A 27642-nucleotide genomic window follows, 5' to 3' on the forward strand; every position below is an offset into this window, starting at 1 on the left:
CCAAAATATGTCTGTATCTGTTTTCAAATGAAAATCATTTTTCCAGAATCTTCAGGTGAAATTGATACTCCAGGATTATGTTCATCTTGTGATTTCAGATATCATCTGGGGGGAGAGGATTCGCACATATGCTAGTCTGTGAGATACAGTAGTAGAAATCAAAGGACTTACCTAGCTCTAAGAACTGTACGAAAATAGTGATGGTACCAACAATTTTACCAATGGCTAGATTTAGGAGATGGTGTTCTCTTGATTCAAGATTAAGGCTAAGCTCATCAGTTCAGTTCAGTTTAAGAACTATTATTATATATCAAGCTTGTGCTAGTTTATGATGGAGATGATAAGGTCTCTGCTCTTGAAGATTCTGTAGACTAATGGGCAAGACATATGTCACTATATAATTTTAATATAACATGGTAAGTGATAAAAATCATGGTATGTATAAGGTCCTTTGAAAACACACAGGTGGGGCACTTAGCCCAGCCTGGAGACTCACAGAGGCTTCCTGCAGGAGATAAGGCCTAAAAACAGAAACCAAGTAAGAGGAATGAAAAGGACATGCAATTTAGAGGGGACAACATCAGCAAAGGGGACACTGTCAGGTTCACGGTGGGAAGAATTGGGAGGTGACGCTGGAGAGGAGCCACATTCAGGTATACACAATGCAAGGGGATGTGGACCCCTCCACAGGCTGCTGGTTAGCCAATGGAACATTTTCCATCCTCCAGTAGGGTAGTCAGATATACACGGAAGGTGGATGACTGGCTGCGGGGTGGAAGAAGAATTCATGGACAGCAGGACTAGAGGCCTCACAGTGTTTAGGAAAAAGACAATGAGAGCCCAAATGAGATCATTGCTGCAGGCACAGAAGGGAAAGAGAAAATACCAGGATACTTGGGGAAGCAAATTTAGCAGAATTTTGGTGTCTTTGGGGGCAATGGTGAGGGGAGAAGAGTCCAGAATGGCTCCCAGGATTCTGGCTTTCTGGGTGACTGGACGTTAAGCCATCACCCAAGTTTGGGATATGAGAAGAGAAGCCGATTTGGTGGGGAAAAAAGATGGTGAATTCAGTCTTGGACATACTGACTTGAGGTGTCTAAGAAACATCTGTATGTTTATGTGCATGTCTGTCTATTCAGCAGGTTGTTGGATCTATGAGTCTGAGACTTAGAGACAAGGTCAGAGCTAGAGATGAAGTTGTGGGAGTCACCAGTGTGCAAGTGGTGATTAATCCATGGGTGTGCATGAGAGTTCTTGCAAGGGGAAGAGGAAACGGAAGTAAGGGCTTATGCAAGGAGGATTGTTGAGTAAAGTGGAAGGCCCAGCCTCTGCCTGCTCACTAATGTCAGTGCTGAACAAGCCCACTGGCAGTGGATGCTGAGGGAAGGAAGGAAGGAGTCTGTCTGTAAGCTTGAGCACTTTTTCCAAGAGGTGGAGAAGGCAGAGAGCCCAAGCCTTGAAGAAATGTTCCTTAGTGGCCTGGCATCTCGGAAATTTGACTCCATGACTTTGGAGTGATCTTTCCATTATTATTTTCCTTGAGCACCCAGAAAGAGAATTCTGAACTAAATGTATTCTTTCACATGGCTGAGTTAAGGATAGTGTTAATTACTGAAATATATGTAAGGTTTTTTTTTTTTTTTTGGTTGTTTGAAAACTAAGCCCACCTTTGAAGTCCAGAGATGTCCTTTCACTCTAATGTATGCTGAGGTGGCAACTGGTAACTGCTTCTTTGTAGGTAATAGCCATAGCCTTAGTTTCATCCTCCTTTCTCCATGACTAAAACTTGCTCCAACTTCTGCATTTCGTTTTTATGATGTATTAATGAGGAGCAAAGACATAAAGGGGTTTCAGAATTTGGAAGAGCCATGGAGAGTCCCTCTTCCAAACTCCCTATTTAACAAATAAAGAGGCCGGGTGCGGTGGCTCACGCCTGTAATCCCAGCACTTTGGGAGGCCGACGCTGGTGGATCATGAGGTCAGGAGATCGAGACCATCCTGGCTAACACAGTGAAACCCCATCTCTACTAAAAATACAAAAAATTAGCTGGGTGTGGTGGCGGGCGTCTATAGTCCCAGCTACTCGGGAGGCTGAGGCCAGAGAATGCCGTGAACCCAGAAGGTGGAGGTTGCAGTGAGCCGAGATCATGCCACTGCACTCCAGTCTGGGGGACACAGCAAGACTCTGTCACAAAAAAAAAAAAAAAAAAAAATTAGGACCCTGAGAGGCTATGTGTCTTGCTCAAGGTCACAGAGTGAATTCCTAGCAGCATTCAGGCTAGGACCCAGGTATTCTGACTCAGTGGCCAGTGTTCTTGTTAGATAGTGAGAAAATAGAATTTAGTCCAATTTGTTTTTCAATCTCGAATTCAGGATCCAGCAAAACTGCCTAATTTTCATGACAGTTTGAAGAAAGGCCCAAATCAAATGCCTCCCCCTCTGTGAGGCCTACCCAGTTTCTCAGGTGAGAGTTACCCACTTTGTGTGCTATGCGCTAGGACTGCTACCAGTACGTCCCAGGACAATCAGTCTTTCACAAGTATTGTCATGTGGCACTTAACGACAGGGACATGTTCTGAGAAATGGGTTGTTAGGCGATTTTGTTGTGTGGACATCCTAGAGTGTACTTATACAAACCCAAATGGCATAGCCTACTACACATCTAGGCTATGCGGTGTATACTGTCAGTACTGAGCATACGCACTGTTAGCAGATGCTGAAGGGAGTCTGTAGGCGTGAGCGCTTTTTCCAAGAATTGACTTCAAACCTGTACAGCACGTTACTGTACCACACACTGTAGGCAGTTATAGCACAGTGGTAAGTATGTGTGTATCTAAACATGGAAAACATGCATTAAACATACGGTATTATGGCCAGGTGCAGTGGCTTACACCTGTAATCCCAGCACTTTGGGAGGTGGAGGCGGGCAGATCATGTGAGGTTGGGAGTTCGAGACCAGCCTGACCAACATGGAGAAACCCTGCCTCTACTAAAATTACAAAATTAGCCAGGCGTGGTGGTGCATGCCTGTAATCCCAGCTACTGGGGAGGCTGAGACAGGAGAATAGCTTGAACCCGGGAGGTGGAGGTTGCCGTGAGCTGAGATCACGCCATTGCACTCTAGCCTGGACAACAAGAGCGAAACTCCGCCTCAAAAATAAAATAAAATAAAATAATTAGCCAAGCGTGGTGGTGCACACCTGTAGTCCCAGCTACTCAGGAAGCTGAGGCAGGAGGATCACTTGAACCCTGGGGACGGAGGTTGCAGTGAGTTGAGATCGTGCCACTGTACTCCAGCCTGGGTGACAGAGTGAGACCTTGTCTCAAAAAAAAGAAGAAAAAAAGGTATTATAATCTTATGGGGCCACCATCATACATGCCGTCTGTTATTAACCAAAATGGCATTATGCGGCACCTGACTGTATACAGCTCTCTACTAGATTATAAACTCCTTGCAGATAAAACTATTCATTTTATCATTATCCATTATATTATTTCCTTAGCACCCAGAAGAATCCTGTATTTAATTGGCTCATATGGAAAATTTTAGAAAGAGAGAGACATCGGGGCTCAGACTATCTTCCGATCAGGAACCAAAACGAGCTGGGAGGTAACAGAGTTCTTTTTCATAGTAATTGTGTTCCATATCATGGTGAAATCGTGCCAGAACAAGCTTCAGACTCTTTCTGGTCTTACTCCTTCTGACCGTGCTGTTCCAAAGAACTTCCCATACAGGAAATAACAATGATGGCAGTAGCTGTCAAATTCTAAAGACGGGGATAGACTCTGGACCTCCTCAGGCCCCTGAGCCCACTGTAGAGCAGGGACGTGACTTAACTGAAGTTCAGGACTGCGGCCACAGTCACATCCACCTGTGAGCAATGGAGGACTTTCAACACAGAACCCTCTGCATCCCCTGCATTCTGTTACTAAGCAGCTCATAGAACACGAAGAGGTATTAACCTTGTTATTTGCAGAGTTACAAAAAGCTGAGTCAGGTATTCCAAAGCAAACCCAGACCAGAAGCCACCTGAGAGTTCGTGCCGGCAAGGACAGATTCAGAATGTACAAAAACGATGAAAATAATATTCTGTGATCACCCTATAACCTACTTCCTTACTGACCAAACACATGTCTCATTCCCATTAAAAAGTTATGCTCAGCCACTGCCCTCTCTAGGATTATCTGATGTTAAACAGTAATTCTGCCCATTTAGGGTCAGCTACTCAAAAGCAAAGAACAGCAACTTTAGGTCAAAATATATTCTTCCAGGAGAGAAGCCCAAGTCTCTCCCCTATTATTGCGGGAATAGTGTACGAGCACCAGACTAGAGAGGAAGCTAACACTTATTAAACATGTATTCTAGTCAGCTGCTAGACATTTTCAGGTAAGCCTCACAGGACCCCTCCAAGGTGGTATTAATGTCCCTGTTTTAGAAGGAGGAGTACTGAGATTCAGAGACATTAGAGAACTTGTCCAAGGTCTTACCAGTAAAAGTGGCAAAACCAGGATTGAACTTAGGTCTGACACTACATAGTTCATATTCTATTATGTGACTATATTCCTCCTTAAAGGAAAATTTAGGAATTCGGTTTCCTTTAGGAAGATGTAGGAAATAGAATGTACTGAAACTAAGATAACAGTTGACTTAAGTCTTTTCTAACTCAGCCTTCCTCAGGCCCATGTGTGAGCTGGTTTCTATCCTTTCCCTGAGACTCTTGGGCACATAGGACCATAATGTCTGTTTGATTTTACTTTTAAGTATATTCTTTTGGTCAGTCCCAGTCTAACAAAATTTTAAGATTTAATGCATTCTATCCATGCAAGAGAATTACATGTGGTTTTGCTTGCTAAAGAAGGTGGAGGCCGGGCGTGGTGGCTCACGCCTGTAATCCCAGCACTTTGGGAGGCCGAGGCAGGCGGATCACGAGGTCAGGAGATCGAGACCATCCTGGCTAACACGGTGAAACCCCGTCTCTACTGAAAATATAAAAAATTAGCCGGGCGTGGTGGCGGGCACCTGTAATCCCAGCTACTTGGGAGGCTGAGGCAGGAGAATGGCGTGAACCCGGGAGGCGGAGCTTGCAGTGAGCAGAAATCGCGCCACTGCACTCCAGCCTGGGCGAAAGAGCGAGACTCTGTCTCAAAAAAAAAAAAAAAAAAAAGGTGGAAATGATATAGGGTAAAGAGAGTAAGTGACATTATCTAGTTCACTCCCACCATATGGACGATTGGCTGCAACTGCCTCTCAGCCTTTGCATGTGTTATTTGCTCTGACTAGAACTCTGCCCACACTACCTGACTAATGCCTGTGTGTTTTTCCAGGAAGCTTTCATGACACTACCCTCTATAATCTTTCTCCTATTTCCTCCAGGCTGAGTAAGAATCTTCCCTTTGTTTTCATTGTTATGAGTGTTGTCTGTATACTCTAGTAAATTATTTTTATGTGAATCATAATAGTTTAATTAATCAGTCTTCTGATTCACAGTTTGAGCTGGCTATAGGCAAGGTCCTTCTGTAAAGAGTTGATGAAATCTACTTTTAAGAGTAGAAGGATAGACAAGATGCCAAGACAATTCAATAGGGAAAAAGAATAGTCTTATTAACAAATGGCTGGGACACTTGGATATTCACATGTGAAAGAATAAAGTTGGATTCCTACCTCACACCATATACAAAAGTTAAGTCAAAATAGATCAGAGGTCAGGTGCAGTGGTTCACACCTGTAATCCCAGCACTTTGGGAAGCCAAGGCTGAATCACCTGAGGTTAGCAGTTCTAGACCAGCCTGGCCAACATGGTGAAACCTTGTCTCTATTAAAAATACAAAATTAGCCAGGTGTGGTGGCACATTCCTGTAATCCCAGCTACTCAGGAGGCTGAGGCGGGAGAATCGCTTGAATGTAGGAGGCGAAGGTTGCAGTGAGCCGAGATTGCACCATTGCACTCCAGCCTGGGAGACGAGCAAAATTCAGTCTCAAAAAATAAATAAATAGATCAGAAACATAAATATAAGAGCTAAAACTACAATTCTTAGAAGAAAACATAGAAGTGGGTTTTCTGACCTTTGGTTAAGCAGTGGTTTCTTGGATATAACGTCAAAAGCACAAACAAAAGAAAAAAACAGATAAATTGGACTTCATCAAAATTACAAGCTTCTGTGCTTCAAGGACAGCATCAAGAAAAGACAACTCACAGAATGGGAGAAAATATTTGCAAATAATATATCTGTTAAGAAACCTGTATCTAGAACAAAGAACTATTACAACTCAATAATAGACAAGTAATCCAATTAAAATGGGCAATGTATTTGAGTAGGCATTTCTCCATGTGCCCAATAAGCACATGAAAAGATGCTCAACATCACTAATCATTAGGGAAACAAAACAACAAAATACCACTTCATACCCACTAGAATGGCTAAATGAAAAAAGACATAACAAGTGTTGGCAAAGATGTGAAGAAACTGGAACTCTAATACATTGCTGGTGGGATTGTGAAAGGGTCTAGCCACTTTTGAAAAGTCTGACAGTTTCTCAAAATGTTAAACATAGAGTTACCATCTGACCAAGTATTCCACTCCTAGGTATACAGTCATCACCCTTTATCTGCAGGGGATATGTTCCAAGACCCCCAGTGGATGCTAAAACCGTGGATAGTTAGTGCCAAACCTTATATACACTATGTTTTTTCCTAGATGTATATACCTATGATAAAGCTTATATAAATTAGGTATAGTAAGAGATTAACAATAATAGTAGGACTATATTAGAACTATATGTGTACTAGAACAATTACAACAATATACTGCTCACAATTTCATGGATGAAGATTCATTTTTACTGTAGATCTTAGCAACCTCAGCATACTATTTTTTTCTTTCGTTATTAAGAACTTTCATGTTTCCACTTAAACAAAACACTTGACAACTTCTCTTTGGCATATTCAAACTGCCAGCATCGCTACTTTTTCATTTTGGAGCCATTAGGTAAAACAAGGGTTATGTGAACACAAGCACTATGATACCATGACAGTCAACCTGATAATCCAGACAGTTTACTAAGTGACTAATGGTTATGCTGGAGAAAGCGATGACTCATATCCAGGGTGGGATGGCATGAAATTTCCTTATGCTACTCAGAATGGTGTGCAATTTAAAATTTCTAAATTATTTGTTTCTTGAAGTTTTGATTTAATGGTTTTGGACCACAGTTGACTGCAGGTAACTGAAACTGCAGAAAGCAAATCCATGGATAAGGGGAGACTACTGCATATCCAAGAGAAATGAAAACATCTATACACACAAAAACATGCAGTTGTTCACAGCATCATTATTCATAACAATTCAAACGTCCATCTACTAACAAGTGAATAAATAAAATGTGACACATCCACACAATGGAATATTATTTGGCCATAAAAAGGAATGAAGTAGCCGGGCGTGGTGGCCCACACCTGTAATCCCAGCACTTTGGGGGCCAAGGCAGGCAGATCACGAGGTCACCAGTTCGAGATCAGCCTGGCCAATATGGTGAAACCCCATCTCTACTATAAATATAAAAATTAACCAGGCATACTGGCGAGCGTTTGTAATCCCAACTACTCGGGAGGCTGAGGCAGGAGAATCGCTTGAACCCGGGAGGTAGAGGTTGCAGTGAGCCGAGACCACGCCATGCACTCTAGCCTGGGCAACAGAGCCAGATTCCGTCTCAAAAAAAAAAAAAAAAAAAAAAAAAAGGAGCCGGGGGCGGTGGCTCACGCCTGTAATCCCAGCACTTTGGGAGGCCGAGGTGGGTGGATCACAAGGTCAGGAAATCAAGACCATCCTGGCTAACACGGTGAAACCCCGTTTCTACTAAAAATACAAAAAATTAGCCGGGCATGGTGGCAGGCGCCTGTAGTCCCAGCTACTCGGGAGGCTGAGGCAGGAGAATGGCGTGAACCGGGGAGGTGGAGCTTGCAGTGAGCAGAGATCGCACCACTGCGCTCCAGCCTGGGCGACAGAGCAAGACTCTGTCTCAAATAAATAAATAAGTAAATAAATAAATAAAGGAATGAAGTGCTGATACATGCTATACCATGAATGAATCTTGAAAACATTATGCTGAGGGAAAGAGGCTGCATCTTGTATGATTTAATTTATATAAACTGTCTAAATTAGGCAAATCCACAGAGACGGAAAGCGTATTACTGATTGCCAGGGGCTGGGGGTGCTGGCAGGAAATGGGAATGACTATCAATGTGTATGGGATTTCTTTGGGGGTTGGTAAAAGCATTTTAAAATTGAATAGTTGTAATTTTATATAAAATTAGATAGCAATAATGGTTGCACAACTGTTAGTAAACCAAAAAATACCAAATTAAACACCTTAAAAGGATAAATTTTATGGTATGTAAATTACATGGTGGATTTTTTTTTTTTTAAGTAGAAGAGTAATGGCAATAAAGTACGGAGAACCATCTTAGGGTGACTTTCAGAGCCATCAGGAAAAACTGTCACAGAAATAAAAAGTAAAAAAACTTAGTAAAGTTGTTGAAATAGTTGTAGCTTGTTATACACCTGAGAGTTATTTTTCACAGTGATTTAGTAATTAAATCTATAAAAGGAAATGTGTTAATTGGCCAGGCCTGGTGGCTCACACCTGTAATCCCAGCAATTTGGGAGGCCCAGGCAGGTGGATCACCTGAGGTCAGGAGTTCGAGACCAGCCTGGCCCGACAGAGGGAGACTCTGTCTCAAAAAATAAACAGAAAAAGTAAAAAATAAAGGGAAATGTAAGTGTGAATTGATGAATGGATAAATAACATATGGCATTATGGGCAGAATTTTGTCTCCCCCACCTCCAAGTGTATGTGATGAAGTCCTCACCTCCAGTGCCTCAGAATATGCCTGTGTTTGGAGACAGGGTCTTTAAAGAAGTAATCAAGTTAAAATGAGGTCATTAGGACAGTAATCCAATATGACTGATATCCTTTAAGAGGAACTTTAGGGCCGGGCGCGGTGACTCACATCCGTAATCCCAGCACTTTGGGAGGCCAAGGCGGGTGGATCACCTGAGCTCAGGAGTTCCAGACCAGCCTGGCCAACATGGTGAAACCCCGTCTCTACTAAAAATACAAAAAATTAGCCAGGCGTGGTTGCAGACACCTGTAATCCCAGCTACTCAGGAGGCTGAGGCAGGAGAATCACTTGAACCCAGGAGGCAGAGGTTGCAGTGAGCCAAGATTGTGCCACTGCACTCCAGCCTGGGCAACAAGAGCGAACCTCTGTCTGAAAAAAAAAGGAACTTTAGACACAGACACACACAGAAAGAAGACCATCTGAAGACACAGGGTGAAAGCGGTCATCTGCAAGCCCAGGAGAGAGGCCTCAGAAGAAACCCATTCTGCCAACGCATTGGTCTCAGACTTCCAGCTTCCAGAACTGTTAGAAGATAAATGGCTGTGGTTTAAGTCCCCCAGCCTGTGGGCCTTTGTTACAGCAGCCCTGGCAACCAGTACAGATTTGGGTACCAAGAAATAGGGTGCTGGTGAGCAGACGTGGCTTTGGAACTAAACAGTGAGTAAGGGCTGGAAGAGTTTGGAGGTGCATGTTGGAAAAGGCCTAAATTGCCTTAAAGAGACTGTTGATAGAAATGTGGACATTAGCTGGGCGCTGTGGCTCACGCCTGTAATCCCAGCACTTTGGGAGGCTGAGGCGGGTGGATAACTTGAGGTCAGGAGTTCAAGACCAGCCTGGCCAACATGGTGAAACCCCGTCTCTACTAAAAATACAAAAATTAGCCAGGCGTGGTGGCATGTGCCTGTAATCCCAGCTACTCAGGAGGCTGAGGCAGAAGAATTGCTTGAACCTGAGAGGCAGAGGTTGCAGTGAGCTGAGATAGCACCACCGCAGCACTCCAGCCTGGGCAATAGAGCGAGACTCAAAGGAAAAAAAAAAACAACAACAGAAATGTGGACATTGAAGGTGATTCCAGTGAGGACTGAGAAAGAAAGAACAGAGCTGTAGAGAAAGCACCTATCAGCTGGGCACCGTGGCTCACACCTGTAATCCCAGCACTCTGGGAGGCCAAGACAGGTGGATCACCTGAGGTCAGGAGTTTGAGACCAGCCTGGCCAACATGGTGAAACCCCATCTCTACTAAAATACAAAACTTAGCCAGGTGTGGTGGCATGCACCTGTAGTCCCAGCTACTCGGGGAGCTGAGGCAGGATAATTGCTTGAGCCCGGGGGGCAGAGGTTGCAGTGAGCCAAGATCATGCCACTGCACTCCAGCCTGGGTGACAGAGAGAAACTCCGTCTCCACAAAAAAATAAAAATAAAAAAGGAAAAGAAAATGCGTCTATCATCTTAGAGAATACATGTATCATCAGGAACAGCATGTTGGTTGAAATATGAATGTTAAAGGTACTTCTGGTGAGAACTTGGACAGAAATGAGAACATGGTATTAGAAACTAGAAGAAAGATGGACCTTGTTATACAGTGGCAAAGAAATTTGTTGAATTGGATTCTCATGTTTCATGGAAAGCAGAACTTATAAATGATGAACTTGGATATTTAGCTGAGGAGATTTCTAAGCAAAATACTGAAGGTGGCCTGATTTCTTCTTGCTGCTCATAGTAAAATATGAAAGGAGAGAGATAAACTAAAAAAGGAATTTTTAGAAAAAAAGGAACCAAAACTTTTGGAAAACTCTCAGTCTATCCATTCTACAAAAAATGAGAAAGCACATTCTGGAGAAAAGACCAAGGGTGTGGCTGAACCCCCATCTGAAAAGATGGCCAATGTGATGCATGGATACAGTCAACCAACTCAGCAAGTCGGGAACAGAGATGTGGTTTTCCCAGGAACTTCTGTGGAGGGCCCTCTTGTCAAATGGCCTCGCCCCCTATGGATTGCATAGGAGGCCAACAAGGTTTTTCAGAATTTATACCAGCAGACATTGCCAGTTTGGACCAAAGGAGACAGAAATAGGAAGAAATGAAGGAAGATTCTCAGACTTCTGGAATTCTGCAGGACCAGCCAGTACAGCGATATGGCTATGATCATGAGTTATCCTTAAAGGAAAGAGAAGAATGACCCTGAAGCTAGTTCAGAGATCTGCCAGGTTGCTACTGCCACCTTGGGCCCAGGGCACACAGATTCAGGGGCAGGACTGGTGCCATTTCCTTGGTTTCAGCAGGCCAGGATGCCCCAGCCCAGGACCAAGGGGTGGGGCCACCATTTAGGGTAGAGGAATCAGGGTGATGGCCCTGGAAGGCAGGGCCACCCTGTGGACCCAGACAACAGAACACTGAGCCAAAAAGGATTATTCTCAAGCCTTGGAATTGGGCTGGGCGCGGTGGCTCACGCCTGTAATCCCAACACTTTGGGAAGCTGAGGCAGGTGGATCAGGAGTTGGAGACCAGACTGGGCAACATGGTGAAATCCTGTCTCATATAAATAGCCTTGCATGGTGGCTCATGCCTGTAATCCCAGCTACTTGGGAGGCTGAGGCAGGAGAATCACTTGAACCCAGGAGGCAGAGGTTGGAGTGAGCCAAGATCGTGCCACTGCACTCCAGCCTGGGCGACAAGGGTGAAATGAAACTGTCTCAAAAAAAAAAAAAAATTGAACGGAATTTGCCCTACCAGGTTCCAGGACAGGAGATCCATGACCACTTTCTTCTTTCCAATGTCCCACTTTTAAACTAGAAATGTCTATACTCTGCCTGTCCTGTTTGGGAAGCAGATAATTTCTTGTCTGGTCATAAAGGTTCACAGCTGGAGAAGAATTTTGCCTCAGGATGAACCATACCTCAAATCTCACCCATACCTGGTTTAGACGATACTTACATGAGATTTTGGACTTACAGTTGATGCTGGTCTGGGTTAAGACTTCTGGCACTGTTGGGATGGGGATGAGTGTATTTTGCATATGAGAAGGACATGGATTTTCAGGGAGCAGAGGACAGGGTGTTATGGGCTGAGTATGCTCTCTCCAAATTCAAATGTTGAAGTCTTATCTCCCAGTACCTCAGGATGTGACTCTTTTGAGATAAGATCTTTAAAGAAGTAATTAAATTAAAATGAGATCATTAGGGTGGGGCCCAAATGCAGTATGAGTAATGTCCTCATAAGAACACAGACACACACAAGAGGATGACTATGTGAGGACACTGAGAGAAGATGGCCACCTCCAAGCCAAGAAGAGAGGCCTCCAGAACTGAGAATGTAAATGATTGTTTAATCTGCCCAGTGTGTGGTACTGTCTTACCAGCCCTAGCAACCAGTATATGTGGTGTACCCACACAACGAAGTACCATTCAGCCATCAAAAGGACTCAGTGCTGATTCATGCTTACAACATGGAGAAACCTGGGAAATATCGTGCCAACAGAAAGGGCCAGTCACAAAAGGCCACATATTATATAATTCAATTTATGAATTGAAAGGCAAACCTGTAGAAATATAAAATGACTGGTGGCTGCCTGCTGGACACCCTGCAATGCACAGGACAGCCCCACAACAAAGACCCCTGTGGCCCAGAGTATCAGCAATGCCGAGGCTGTGAGATCCTGCTCTCACCCAGGCCTGCTTCCCAAAGCCCTTTAGTCCTGAAGAGAGAAGAGAACAGGCTGCCTTCTTTCTTTGTTATTGAAATCCCACTTACTCCCTCTTAGAGCATGTTCTTCTCCCTTTAAGACCAGCCTTGGCTGGTCTCCACCACATGTAGATGGGGCTGGGGAAGGAGAAGACTGGTGAGAGTGAGGGGTTTCTTTTCCTTTTTTTTTTTTTATGTTTTGAGATGGAGTCTTGCTCTGTCTCCCAGGCTGGAGTGCTGGAGTGCAGTGGCGCGATCTCAGCTCACTGCAACCTCTGCCTACTGGGTTCAAGAGTTTCTCCTGCCTCAGCCTCCTGAGTAGCTGGGATTACAGGTGCCCACCACCACGCCCGGCTGATTTTTGTATTTTTAGTAACAGACAGGGTTTCACTATGTTGGCCAGGCTGGTCTTGAACTCTTGACCTCAGGCAATCCGCCCGCCTCAGCCTCCCAAAGTGCTGGGATTACAGGCATGAGCCACTGCACTGGGTTTTGTTTTTTTGTTTTTTTGTTTTTTTTTTTTTTGAGACAGGGTCTCTTCTGTTGCCCAGGCTGGAGTGCAGTGACATAATCATGGCTCACTGCAGCCTCAACCTCCTGAGTAGCTGGGACTACAGGCATGCACCACCACACCCAGCTAATTTTTTTTCTTTTCTTTTCTTTTCTTTTTGTTTTTTTGTTTTTTTGGTAGAAATGGAGTTTCACCATGTTATCCAGGCTAGTTTCTTTCTTTCTTTTCTTTTTTTTTTTTTTTTGAAACTAAATCTTGCTTTATCACCCAGGCTATAGTGCAGTGGCTCAATCTCAGCTCACTGTAACCTCTGCCTCCTGGGTTCAAGCTATTCTCATGCCTCAGCCTCCCAATTAGCTGGGACTACAGGTGCCCGCCACCATGCCCAGCTCATTTTTGCATTTTTAGTAGAGATGGGGTTTCACCATGTTGGCCAGCCTGGTCTCAAATTCCTGACCTCAGGTGATCCACCCACCTCAGCCTCCCAATGTGCTGGGATTACAGGCGTAAGCCACCGCGCGCAGCCCCCAGGCTAGTCTTAAAGGGAGAAGAACATGCTCTAAGAGGGAGTTAAGTGGGATTTAAATAACAGAAAGAAGGCAGCCTGCTGTCTTCTCCCTTCAGGACTTAAAGGGCTTTGGGAAGCAGGCCTGGGTGAGAGCAGGATCTCACAGGCTCGACATTGCTGATACTCTGGGCCACAAGAGTCTTGGCTGTGGGGCCATCCTGTGCTTTGGAGGATGTTCAGCAGTGTCCCTGGTCTCCACTCAGAGAAGCCAGAGTGCCACCACCAGTCCCCGTTGTGAGCCATTGGACTCAAGAATGACCTAATGGCTTAACCTTGTACTGTGACAGAGCCTGAGTTGCCTGAATTTTAATGATACAAAGAATTTTAATTATACTAATTTTATTTTATTTTAATTTTTTTGTGAGACGGAGTTTCGCTCTTGTCGCTCTTCTTGCTTGTCTCGCCAACATCTCATGAAAAACCTTCTAGGACAGCTGGGATACCTCCAATTCATTCTTTTTAATGGTTATATAGCATCTCATAGTAAAGATAAAATATAATTTATTCATTCAAACACGTGGTTGGAACTTGAGTAGAGGCCCAAGCTCTCTGGGGTATTTGGGATCTATATATTTTGTGTCTGCCGCCACAAACTGGGAGACATTTGCTTTAACTCTCCACCTGTGGGAGCAACGTAATGTTAGAGAGTGCTGGTTGCCAAGCCTAGGCACTCGAGGAGAAAAACAAAATTCACCTTCCCCCTTTTTCTGATCCTTCCATTCATCTGGACATCTCTTCTTTCACCATTTCCTGCTTTCCCCCCTCTAAAATAAGGGAAAATTACTGCTTTGTTTTTTTAAAGCACCGTATCAAGTTTTACTTTTAACTACAGCCAAATGGCATCAACCATAATTTCTCCTTTCCTTGGCACCATTTCCTCTCTCTTCTTCTGTGCCTCTGCTTCCCTCTGGTTTCCTTGCTCCTCATTCTCCCTTACTCTTGCCTCCATTTTCTCTTTCTGACTCCTTCTATCTTATCTTCTATTTCACTTATCTCAAATGAGAGAGAGAGAGAGAGAAGGAAGGAGAGAGGGAGGGAGGGAAGGATCCAATGATCTCCCTAGATATGAAATAAAAAGGAACAGTTGCCCAAACCTCCAGTCTTCTTGGTTGCCAGCTTGGTTGCTATTTTTAATACTAGGCCATAGCAGCAAATCAGCCAGGGATTTAATAGGGAGATTCTAGAAATGAGAGTCATGGAAGTGTTGAGATGAGGTCTTCACACATCCCTAGCTGACTGAAAAAGCTATGCATCTATGGGGAAGACCTGAGACAGCACAGCAGAAAGTGAAAGGCAAAGTTACTACTTGTCCAAAACATTCAATCCTCCCCTCACACTCCCATCATATCTCATGTGAAATTAAAAAAAGAGGAAATATATTGAAATAAGAAAGTTGGGGAATTTGCCTTTGTGAAAGCACTTATTTTTTTCCTTTGGAGACAGGGTCTCACTCTGTCACCCAGCGGTGGAGTGACACGGAGTGTCAGCGGTGCGATCACGGCTCACTGCAGCCTCAACCTCACAGGCTCAAGCAATCCTCCCATCTCAGCCTCCCGAGTAGCTTGGACTACGGCGTGCCCTTCCATGCCCAGCTAATTTATTTTTAGTAGAGACAGGGGTCTCACTATGTTGCCCAGACTGATCTTGAACTCCTGGGCTCAAGCAATCTTCCTACCTCAGCCTTCCAAAGTGCTGGGATTACAGGTGTGAGCCACTGCACCTGGCCTAAAAGCATTATCTGATATTTGTTTTCCTATTCGTAAGTTTGTCCTTAGATTGAAAGGTTTTATTGTATATTGCACACACCAGTTGTGTATATTAGGAAACATTCCTTAAGTATTTTTTTATTTAACATTTATTTTATTTAAATGTTTTTAATGCTAAACCACAGCAGGGGCTTAGCCTATATTTGGAAAATGGGTTATCCAAATTATTTAGAAGTCCAAATTTTTATTGTTCTACTTGAAGTTATTTATTACCTTGTTCCTCCTGTAACTAAAAGTGACTCATCCTCCATCTCCTCCACGTGTTCCATAATGTAGCTAATCTAATGAACTAATCCATTAATTTGTTAATGGAAGAAATATAGCCCATCCCCATCAAATCAAAGTACTCAGTCTTCTATGAATCATACATAAGTTTAAATAAATTTCTACAGACATGCTGCAGGCCCTGCTGTCCACTGGTGTGAATTTTAGACGAGGTGAAAGGGAAGGGTGGGTCTTGACAAGCCGGTATCAAGTACACAGAGGCAGACAAGGACTCTGCCTTTATTTCAGGCACTGCTTTTGAGAAAAATGAGGCAGGGCAGGGAGGAGGGAAGCCGGTTAGTCAGTGTGCAATTTTGACATACATTTGCAAAGCTGGTTTTTCTGCACCTTTGCCTAGGAAAATGAAGTATAACGAGCTTGATATTGAAAGGGACCTGTGTTAAACATTAAACAAAAATGTAAATTTTTTATGTTCAAAGGAGGGTTTAAAAAAAAAGCAGGCTGGGCACAGTGGCTCACGCCTGTAATCCCAGCACTTTGGGAGGCCGAGGCAGGTGGATCACTTGAGGTCAGGAGTTTGAGATCAGCCTGACCAACATGGTGAAACCCTGCCTCTACTAAAAACACAAAAAAATTACAGGCATGGTGGCGCACGCCTGTAATCCCAGCTACTTGGAAGGCTGAGGCAGGAGAATCGCTTGAATCTGGGAGGCAGAGGTTGCAGTGAGCCAAGATTGCACCATTGCATGCCAGCCTGAGCAACAAGAGCGAAACTCCATCTCAAAAAATAATAATAATGAGGAGAAGGCCTTCCAGTTATGGCAGCACAAAGAGGCAGGCAATTTCTTTCTGTAAAAAAAAAAAAAAAAGCAACAACCAACCAAAAAATATATAAAACTAGACAAAATTATTTATCAAAACCAACCATTTCAGGAAACTGGAAATTGACAAAATGCAGGCAAAAAATTGAGCAGCATTTATTCTTGAAAAACTACTAGATCTTTAGGCAAGTAGGAGATTGTGGCTTTTTCTGCCTGTGGCTGCTCCCGTCACCCCCCAGCTCAGCCAATGACTTTTAAGTAAGATGGGGCTGACCATGAAAACTAGTAGCTTTGCTGCCATACAAACAGATTCAATTCAGAGCAGTGGCTGGGGGGTTGAAAATCCTTGGCTTTGTTGGCTTAACATGGGAATGAACACTTGGAAATGAGCAGGACAAATCCACAGCTTCGCTAGCTTGAGGTTGCAGCCCCACTTGGGGCAAGCAGCAGGCCAACCAGGAATTTAACAGGCGGATTCTGGAAATGAGAATCAGAGAAGTATTGAAGTGAGCTCTTCACGCATCCCTGGCTGACTGAAAAAACTATCTATGCATATATAGAGAAGACCTGAGAGAGCCCAGCAAAAAGTGAAAGACAAGGGGGACTTGAAAACTGGCCTTCTCCAAGCCCCACACAGATCAACTAACAGGGGCTGGAAATGCAATGGGCTTGAAGTTTTTTTTTTTTTTTTTTTGGAGATGGAGTCTCACTCTGTCGCCCAGGCTGGAGTGCAGTGGCACGATCTCAGTTCACTGCAACTTCCGCCTCCTGGGTTCAAGTGATTCTCCTGCCTCAGCCTCCCAAGTTGCTGAGATTACAGGCGCCCACTACCACGCCCGGCTAATTTTTTGTATTTTTACTAGAGACAGGGTTTCACCATGTTTGCTAGGCTAGTCCTGAACTCCTGACCTCAAGTGATCTACCCGCCTCAGCCTCCCAGAGTGCTGGGATTACAGGCATGAGCCACTGCACCCAGCCTCAGAGAATTAAAGAAAACTGTTCAAGGAATTAAAAGAAAATATGATTTAAATGACTTGACAAATAGGGAATCTAAATAGTGAAATACAAACTATAAAAAGAATTAAATGGAAATTCTGGAGTTGGAAGGTACAGTTACCAAAATTAAGAATTCACTAGATGGGCTCAATAGCAGATTTTCAGATAGTGGAAGAACCAGTGAACATGAAAATAGACCAATAGAAATGATCCAATTTGAAAAACAGAGAGAAAAAAATGAAGACAAATGAACAGACCTTCAGACACACATAGGATGATGTTAAATGTCCCCACATACATGTAATGGGAGCCCCAAAAAGGGAGAGAAAAAAATATTGATGAAAAATATTGAATTGCAGATTTTTTTAAAAAAAGCTCAACCAACACTGACTTTTAAAAAACAGAAAGAGAACCATACAGTAAGGACAAAGCCAGAAGCATCACACTTCCTGTGTTCAAATTCTATTATAAAGCTATAGCAATCAAAACAGAGTACTGGCATAAAAACACACATAGAGCAATGGAACAGAATTGAAATCACAGAAATAAACCCACTCATATAAGGTTAACTAATCTTCTACAAAGGTGTCAAGAACAAGAATGAGGAAAGAATAGTATCTTCAATAAATGGTGCTGGAAAAAAGGACTTCTTCAATCTAATAAAGGCACCTGAAAGAAACCAACAGCTTATGTCAGAAGAAGGACACAGAAACTTGATGTTATATCCATAGAAATTACAAAATCTAGAGAACAGGAGAAAAAAATATGAAAAAATTAATAGCCTCAGTGATCTTTAGAAAAATATCAAAAGGTACAAAATGTGTGCAATTGGAGTAAGAGTGAAAGAAGAGGAGATATAAATATTAAAAAGCATGGATAAAAACAATATTTTTTAAAAAGCCTAATTAAAAAGTATATTGAAAGATATAAAAAGAATTTCAGAAAAATAATCTGTAGAAAACCTACCTAGGCACATCACAGTCAAATTGTCCAAAACTAGAAAAGAAGACAAAATCTTCAAACAGCCAGAGAAAAATCATACATACCAGGAACAACAACATGAATAATGATAATTTTTCCTTTTAAAAAAGCGAATACCAGAAGAGAAGGGAACTGTAGCTTTAAAGTGCTACAAGAAATAGAAAAAGTAAACCCAGAATTTGATATAAAATATTCAGCAAAAAATTAAAATACCACAGTAAAGTTATCTGAATATAAATAAAAATTAAAATATTCATTGGCAGTAGAACTACATGATAGTAAATGGCAATGGAATTCTCTTAGGTAAAAAAGAAATAATACCAGTTGGAAGCTTGGATTGTGAGGAAGAAATGAAGAGCACAAGAAGTAGTGAAATGTAGTCAGATAGTAAAGAGTCTTAGGTCGAGCCACCGCGGCTCAAGCCTGTAATCCCAGCACTTTTGGGAGGCGGAAGCGGGCGGATCATGAGGTCAGGAGATCGATACCATCCTGGCTAACACGGTGAAACCCCGTCTCTACTAAAAATACCAAAAAAAAAAAAAAAAAAAAAATTAGCCGGGCGAGGTGGTGGGTACCTGTAGTCCCAGCTACTCTACTCGGGAGGCTGAGGCAGGAAAATGGCGTGAACCCGGGAGGCGGAGCTTGCAGTGAGCCGAGATCGCGCTACTGCACTCCACCCTGGGCGACAGAGCGAGACTGCGTCTCAAAAAAAAAAAAAAAAAGTAAGACTAGTTAAAGTAAAAACTTCATCATTGTATTATAGGATATATAAAATATATGTAATACAGAATGACACTAAAACTTAAAGGACGGGAGTAGGAAAAACATCTATTAGTTGCAAATTTCTTATATTTTAAGTAAACTTCTACAATACAGTAAGTAGACAAATAGTTTTAAATGTATCATTCTTTATTTTCCAGAATAGCCCTGAAAATATTAAAGAGGTATAGCAAAAAGCCAATAAATAAAAATCAAAACAGAATCCAAAAATATTATTCAAATATTTAAATAGAGTCTATTCTAGGAGCCAGTTTGGTCTAACATTAAAAAAATCAATCAATGTAACTCATCTTATTAACACATTTTAAAAAATCTATTTGATTATACCTACAGATAGAAAAAATTTGGTAAAATCCCAAACTCATTTATGATAAAAACACTCAGAAAATTAGGTTGAAAAAAGGGACTTCTTCAATCTAATAAAGGCACCTGAAAGAAACCAACAGCTTATGTCACACTTAATGAGAGAAATATTAAACGTCTTCCCATTTTTATTTCTTAAATACTAAACATGTTCAAGATCATAAAGAAGTCAATAATGTTCACTCTTAACCACTTCTATTCCATATTGTACTGATGCATAAAGACAAGAAAAATACTAAAAAGCTGAAGATCAAAGGATAAGGAAAACCTTTTTCAGAGATGAAAGGACTACTTACATCCAAATATTTAAAAAACTATACATTAACTACTCAAATTAATAAGTGCATACCTTAATTTATTATTACAACATATAAAAATTATATTTTGTATACTAATGGTAAACAATTGGATAATTCAATTTTAAAACCTAAATTTATATTAAAAACAAAATATTTAAATTTAGCAAAAGGCATGCAAGACTTGTATACAGAAAAATAAAAATAGTTGCTAAAGGAAATGAAAGACAGTTTTAAAATATAGAAGTATAAATCATGTCCATGGATTGTTGCAGCCTCTGCCTCAGGAGTCCCCTGCAGCCTGGAACACCTAACAAAAGAAATGCAGGTGCAGTGCCAGGGATTGGAGGTGATTCCCCACAAGTCCTAGGAGCAAACCTTGTGAGGGGGCCATCTCTCTCCCCCACCCACCTCAGAGCATGCCTGTGAACAAGAAAGTACAAGAGCCACACAAGCTGGGTGTTAGCCTAGCTATCGGCCATTACTCTTAAGCGCCATCTACTGGATCACGGCACAAACTACCACACTAAAATTATCATGCTAATTATATATGCAAGATGTGAAACCAGGTGCAAGAATTCACCCACATATGCGGATTCTGTACAGAGCCCTGGCCCTCTGAAAGCATCCAGAAATGAATCCAACTGACCATACTCAACTTACCCCGCAGTTAAAGGAACACCAACCCTATCAGATGAGAAAGAATCAGCACAAGAACTCTGGCAATTCAAAAAACCACAGCATCCCCTTACATCCAAATGGATCACTAGCTCCCTAGAAATGGTTCTTAACCAGTCTGAAATAGCTGAAATGACAAACACAAAATTCAGAATCTGGATAGAAAGGAAGCTCATTGAGATTCAGAAGAAATTTGAAACTCAATCCAAGGAATCCAAGTAACCCGGTAAAATGATCCAAGAACTGAAAGATGAAATAGCCATTTTGAGAATCAGAATAAACTTCTAGAGCTCAAAAATTTACTACTAGAATTTAATAATGCAATTCTGCTGTAAATTCTGCTGTAAATTATTAATTAACAGCAGAACAGACCAAGCTGAGGAAAGAATCTCAGAGCTTGAAGATCAGTTCTTTGAATCAACTTAGATGAAAATTAAGACAAAAGAATTTAAAAAATGAACAAAACTGGCTGGGCGCGGTGGCTCACGCCTGTAATCCCAGCAGTCTGGGAGGCCGAGGCCGGCAGATCACGAGTTCAGGAGATCGAGACCATCCTGGCTAACATGGTGAAACCCCGTCTCTACTAAAAATATAAAAAAACTAGCCGGGCATGGTGGCAGGTACCTATAATCCCAGCTACTCGGGAGGCTGAGGCAGGAGAATGGCGTGAACCTGGGAGGTGGAGCTTGCGGTGAGCCGAGATAGCGCCACTGCACTCCAGCCTGGGTGACAGAGCGAGACTCTGTCTAAAAAAAAAAAAAAAAAAAAAAAAAAAAACCTCTAACAAATATAGGATTATGTAAAGATATAAAATCTATGACTCATTGGCATTCCTGAAATAGGAGGAGAAAGAGTAAGCAATTTCAAAAATGTATTTGAAAAACACCAAAAAAATTGCCTAATCTTGCCAGAGAGGTTGAAATTCAATTCCAAGAAATACAGAGAACCCTGGCTAGTTACTATATAAGACAACTATCCCCAAGACACATAGTCGTCAGATTCACCAAGGTCAAGGTAAAAGAAAAAAAAATTCTAAAGGCAGCTAGAGTGAAGGGTCAAGTCACATACAGAGGAAACCCCATCAGGCTAGCCACAGACTTCTCAGCAGAAAACTTATACGCCAGAAGAGATTGGGAGACTATTTTCAGCATCCTGAAAAAAATTTAACTAAAAATGTTATATCCTGTCAAATTAAACTTCATAAATGAAGGAGAAATAAAATCCTTTTTAGACAAGCAAATGCTGAGGAAATTTATTTTAAGTAGACCATCCTTACAAAAGGTCCTTAAGGGAGTGCTAAATATGGAATCTAGAGAACCTGCTGCCATAAAACACTTGAGCACATAGCCCACAGGCACTATAAATCAACTATGCTGTCAAGTCTACATAACAACCAGCTAACAACATGGGTATGAAATCAAAATCACACCTATCAATACTAATCTTGAATATAAATGGGCTAAACACCTGCTTAAAAGACATTGAGTGGCAAACTGGATAAAAACACAAGACCCAACCATCACTGCCTTCAAGAGACCCATCTCACATGTAACAACACCCACAGGCTCAAAACAAAGAGAGGGGAAAATATCTATCAAGCAAATGAAAAACAAAAAAGGACAGGAGTTGCTATTCTTCTATCAGATAAAACAGATGTTAAACAATGAAGGGCATTACTATAATGATAAAGAGTACAATCCAACAAGGAGACCTAACAATCCTAAATATATATGCATCCAACATTGGAGCACCCATATCCATAAAACAAGTTCTTCTTGGCCTATGAAAAGATTTAGACAACCAGACGATAATAGTGGGAAATTTCAACACTCCACTGACAGTGTTAGACAGATCATTGAGGCAGAAAACTAACAAAGAAATGCTGGACTTAAACTCAGCACTTAACCAGTTGAAACTAATAGACAAATACAGAACACTCCACCCAAAAGGAATGCTTATACATTGTTGGTGGAAATGTAAATTAGTTCAGGCACTGAGGAAAGCAGTTTGGAGATTTCTCAAATAATTTAAAACAGAGCTACCATTCCACCTAGCAATCCCATTATTGATTATATATCCAAAGGAAACTAGATCATTATACCAAAATGCACTCATATGTTCATCACCATGCAATTCACAATAGCAAAGACATGGAATCAAGCGAGGTGCCCATCAATGATGGATTGGATGAAGAAAACATATATGCTATGGAATACTACACAGCCCTAAAAAAAGAATGAAATCAAGTTGTTTGCAGCAACATAAATAGAGCTGAAGGCCATAGTCCTAAGTAAATTAATGCAGGAACAGAAAACCAAATACTACATGTTCTCACTTACAAGTGGGAACTAAACATTGAGCACACATGAACATAAACATGGGAATGATTGACACTGAGCACTACTTGAGGGGAAGAGAGAGGGAGGTTGACATGGGTTGAAAAACTACCTATTGGGTACTATGTTTGCTACCTGGGTGCAGTATACCCATGTAACAAACCTTCATATGTACCCTCTGTATATAAAATAAAAGTGGGAATTTTAAAAAGACTAAATATGTTAAAACTAGCACTCTCTAAATTTTATCTACAGTAATTAAAATCTCAATTGTTATCTCAACTGTTTTTGTTTTCTAAGAAACTAAAAAGCTGATTCTAGAAGGTATATGAACACACAAAGAATTTATGAGAAGTCCCACTCCTGGTTAGAAGCCTATGTATGTTTCAGGCCAGAGGTAATTAATTACAAAGGCTTTACCTGGCAGGCTTACAGGGTGTGGAGAGGCTGTTCTGCCCACCCCAGACTTGGTTCACAGCCAATGCATTGCAGTCTTTGAAGGGAGTTGCAGTCAAGGACCCCCTGGCTGGTCACGCCCTTGTGCATATTTATATTGCCAGCTCAGGATCCTCCATTCTTAGGTCTCTTTATCTGAGGCCTATGTAGAGGTCTTCTTCAGGTGCCTCTGTCATGGCCTCCTAATAGGAGAGGAAGAGAAAGCCTTAAAGACACTTTTCTCCACTCTGAGTACCCAGTGAGTTTCCACTTTCTCCTTGCAGGGCCCCCCAACAGTGAGACAAACCCATGTCTGCACTAATCCAACTAACCCTTGACCAGTGCCATTTCCACAGGGAAAAATGGAACAGGGGGAGTCAGTAATTTCTCTGGCTTTAGACTCTTGCTTACACTATTAAAGGAGGTAATTAAAGACTTAACTCTTTCCTTTTGGGCTTGTTGCTTTAATTGGCTCACTACCTGGGTGCAATATACCCATGTAACAAACCTGCATATGTACCCCCTGTATCTAAAATAAAAGTTGAAATTTTAAAAAGACTAAATATGTTAAAATGAGTACCTAAGTCCTCAGCACTCTTTTTCAGTTCTGCTGAGCTCCTGACACTCTAGAATAATCAAAACGTTATTTAGAAAGAACACACTTGGAGTACTTTCACTATCTGACTTCAAGACTTACTATAAACCCACAATAATCAAAGGAATGTGGTACTGGCAAAAGGACAGACAAATAGAAAATACACATTAAAACCACAATGAGATACCACTAACCATCCACATACCCACTCAAATTAAACCACCTGGCAACACCAAATGCTGGCAAAAATTTGGAGTCCCAGAACTTACATATATTGTTGGTGAAAGTGGATAATACAACCAATTTGGGAAAATAATAGTTTCTTATAAAACTAAACCCCTATGATCATCTACCCCATGAGCCAGCAATTATACTCCTAAGTATTTACTTAAGAGAAATAAGAGCATACATCTACAAAAAAAGACTTAAAGCAGAATGTTTACAGAAAGTGATTTCATCATTGCGAAAACCTGGAGACATCTTGAACGTCCATCTACAGGAAGTGGCTAAACAAAGGGTAGTATATCCACATGGTGACATATTCCACTGCCACAAAAGGGAATGAAGTACTAATACACACAACTTGAACAAATCTTAAAAACGTTATTCTGAGTGAAAGAAACTTTGCATAGAAGAGTGTATGATGTTATTCCATTTATAGAAAATTCTAGAAAAGAATAATTTATAATGAAATCAGAACTCTGGTTGCCTCTAAGGGGTTAGCAGTGAGGAAAACTAAAGGTATGAGAAAACTTGGAGATAATGGTAATATTCTATAATTTAGTAGGTTACACAGTGTATGCATTTGTCAAAACTTGTTTAACAGTATTCAAGATTTGTGCATGGTGCTGCATGCAAATTTTACCTGAAAAACAGCTTCAACTCCAGTTAATTATATGTGTGCTGAACTGCTTAGAAGTGAAGTATGCTTTCAGTTGACTTTTCAATGAATTAAAAAACTAGATGGATTGATGGATGAATAGAAGGATGGATAGATGGATTGTTATGTGGTAAAGCAGTAATAGTTTTATCCAGAATCTAGGTGGTGGGTACATGCATGTTCACTGTATAAAACTTTCAGCTTCTATAGATGTTTGAAAATTCTCATAATAAAATGGAAAATAATGGCACAATTCTATGTATTTTTTAATCAACTTTGAAATATGCCGATAAGAACCACATTGCTAATTAAAGAAGTGAAGTACAGGAAGGTTTGGGCTGTGTGTTTCTGTGTAAAAGAAGGAGGAGTCAAAAGTTAGCCAGGCGTGGTGGTGCACGCCTGTAGTCCCAGCTACTTGGGAGGCTGAGGCAGGAGAATGGCGTGAATCCAGGAGGCGGAGCTTGCAGTGAGCCGGGATCGCACCACTGCACTCCAGCCTGAGCGACAGAGCTAGACTTAATCTCAAAAAAAAAAAAAAAAAAGAAGGAGGAGGAGTCAGATTTACATAAACTTGAACAAGCAAGAACTATTATTTCTAGAACATGTACCAAAACACTTACAAGACTGTCTCTGGAGAGGGAACTTATTTTTTGTTCTCTGTTATAATTGAATCATTAACCATGTGCATGTATTAATTCAATAAATAAACACATTAAAATTAAATGAGAGTTTAGTATCCATAACATTCCCTGAGAGAAAAATCTAGAGACTACTGCAGTTTGAAAGGCATGTAAAGAGAGGGGAATATGTTTGCAGTTTTGTTTTTTGTTTTTTGTTTTTTTCAAACAAAGAGAATACTGATGAAGAGGCAAAGATTTGGAATTTAGTAAAGAATAGGGATCATTTGTTAATTTTCAGAAGCTTTTAGGATAAATGAAATGAAAAAGATGCTGGGTTATTTTGGCAGGGAGTTTGATACATTTGACTAAAAGATTTAAAAATATACCTACATGTCAAGAAAAACTGAAATATTCTATACGTTTTACTACTTCCACTTAGCAGAGTTTATCTTGAGCCACTGTCCGTGGCATGTCCAATAGATGTAAAGGCTTCACACACACTCCTCATATGAACAAGTTACTGAAATATTGTCAAAGTGTCACATTTTCTCTATTATAAGGTAAATTGTTTTTCACAATTCTATTTTCTTTGAAATATGGGTAAGTCCTATAATCAATCTTCACCTTTAATGTGGTAGTACTAAACACTACCCAGAGTAACAACTAGGTATTTAATAGAACATCGTATAATAGAGAGAATCTCAGAATCAAATAAGATAGGTGAGTTTTTGCAAGCCTGTCTTTCTAGAGTTCCCTAGTATTCTTTAGAGTGTTAGGCCTATCATTCTCAGCTACCCACCAGATTGTACTTTACTAAGGCACAGGCAACTGTAAGAGTCAGACAATACTTGATAGTGTTGATATTAACACTTGAGATTTGTGATCACATAGGCATTGATTTGAGTCCTGACTCTATCACTTACTCCTGGATTATATGAACTTGGATAGATTATTTAAGGTCTCTAGGTCTTATCTGTAAAATTTCCTAATCTGTAAAAATAGTGTGACAATAATAAATAGCCTAACCAAAAAATAGACTTAAATAAATGTATGAAAAGCAGAGTAAGTGCTCAAAAACTTAGCTCTACTCTTATGCAAAAATGAACTATTTTAAGCAGTTACATGATACAAGAAATCAGCTTGATAATGGAAAAAGATCATAGCATTGTGGTCAATTTTTTTTTTTTTTTTTTTTTTTTTTTTTTTTTTTGAGACGGAGTCTCGCTCTGTCGCCCAGGCTGGAGTGCAGTGGCGCAATCTTGGCTCACTGCAAGCTCCGCCTCCCGGGTTCACCCCATTCTCCTGCCTCAGCCTCCCAAGTAGCTGGGACTACAGGCGCCCGCCACTACGCCCGGCTAATTTTTTGTATTTTTAGTAGAGACGGGGTTTCACCGTTTTAGCCGGGATGGTCTCGATCTCCTGACCTCGTGATCCGCCCGCCTCGGCCTCCCAAAGTGCTGGGATTACAGGCGTGAGCCACCGCGCCCGGCCCATTGTGGTCAAGTTTTACACAGGCATGATTTGTTTCGTGGCCTAGACTGAGTTGAATTAGAATAGAAGAAACCATATTACAAGTATTCAGGAATTAAGCAAAGACAAAAAAATAGTTATGACTGTGATAACTGAAACAAAGGAAAACATATAAGAGACAATGCATTTAATTTGCAAATTGACAAATAAGGTAGGTGAGGAAAAAAAGAGGCTTATGGAATTCTTGAGCCTAACGTGCAAGAAGAACAAGGATGCCGTTTGTTGGGAGAGGGGAATTGAGGAATAAGAGCCCATTTATTGGTGTGTGTATGTGTTGGGGGAGGAATGAGTTCAGTTTGGGACAACCATGAAGACCCAGCAGACAGTTGAAATACTGTTATGGAGTTCCCTTATATTCTAACCTATTACCTTTAGTTCTTTGAAGTCAGTTCTGCACCCCACTTTTTGCTCTACACCCAGACAGTAGCACAGACTGGTGTTCAGTAATGGCAGATGGAAAAGTAATGGGAGAACGGTGGTAAGTGGCCGGTGCATGCTGCAAGGCTTGTGCATGAAGACTCATCCTGAGTGAAGAGCCACACAGTTCCACCAGGGGGAAGACTGGTTTTTGCATATCCTGCAGAAACTCAACCACCTATTAGAGGAGAGAAACAGAGCGGGAAAGAACTACGCTGTAGGAAGGAAAGATGAACTTGAGTTTCACTTCTTAGTGCCTTTTC

The 27642-nt window shown here is 41.4% G+C and overlaps 1 protein-coding gene and 1 long non-coding RNA gene across 20 annotated transcripts in view, besides 2 other annotated features; one reads left to right on the forward strand and one right to left on the reverse strand.

Annotated features, from left to right (window-relative positions):
* The window catches only part of UBE2R2-AS1 (UBE2R2 antisense RNA 1), a 94784-nt gene that overhangs the window by 34469 nt on the left and 32673 nt on the right, over window positions 1-27642 (reverse strand). The window contains exons 4-5 of one of the 15 annotated variants that reach the window (NR_170211.1): window positions 23323-23540; window positions 1668-1798 (exon numbers count right to left, since the gene is read on the reverse strand). The exons of 11 other annotated variants lie outside the window; for them this stretch is intronic. This is a non-coding gene — a long non-coding RNA (UBE2R2 antisense RNA 1). Of the gene's footprint in view, window positions 1-1667; window positions 1799-16746; window positions 16950-23322; window positions 23541-27331; window positions 27558-27642 lie in introns of all 15 variants that reach the window. 3 more of the 15 variants (NR_170210.1, NR_170213.1, NR_170207.1) reach the window with 3 other exon arrangements.
* Window positions 1-27642, forward strand: part of PRSS3 (serine protease 3) — a 48553-nt gene that overhangs the window by 7875 nt on the left and 13036 nt on the right. Inside the window, exon 2 of one of the 5 annotated variants that reach the window (XM_011517965.2) lies at window positions 3504-3610. The gene's annotated coding sequence lies outside the window, so the exon portion shown is untranslated. 5 annotated transcript variants of the gene reach the window in all.
* Window positions 5165-5365: a silencer, noted in NCBI's record as "peak7221 fragment used in MPRA reporter construct". NCBI's record gives its function as "represses an SCP1 promoter by STARR-seq MPRAs in K562 erythroleukemia cells {active_cell/tissue: K562}" and the evidence as "EXISTENCE:reporter gene assay evidence [ECO:0000049][PMID:32103011]".
* Window positions 20530-20589: an enhancer, noted in NCBI's record as "active region_28301". NCBI's record gives its function as "activates an Ori minimal core promoter by ATAC-STARR-seq in GM12878 lymphoblastoid cells {active_cell/tissue: GM12878}" and the evidence as "EXISTENCE:reporter gene assay evidence [ECO:0000049][PMID:35858748]".

This window comes from Homo sapiens, chromosome 9, assembly GCF_000001405.40.
Source record: "Homo sapiens chromosome 9, GRCh38.p14 Primary Assembly".
NCBI classification, from domain to species: domain Eukaryota; kingdom Metazoa; phylum Chordata; class Mammalia; order Primates; family Hominidae; genus Homo; species Homo sapiens.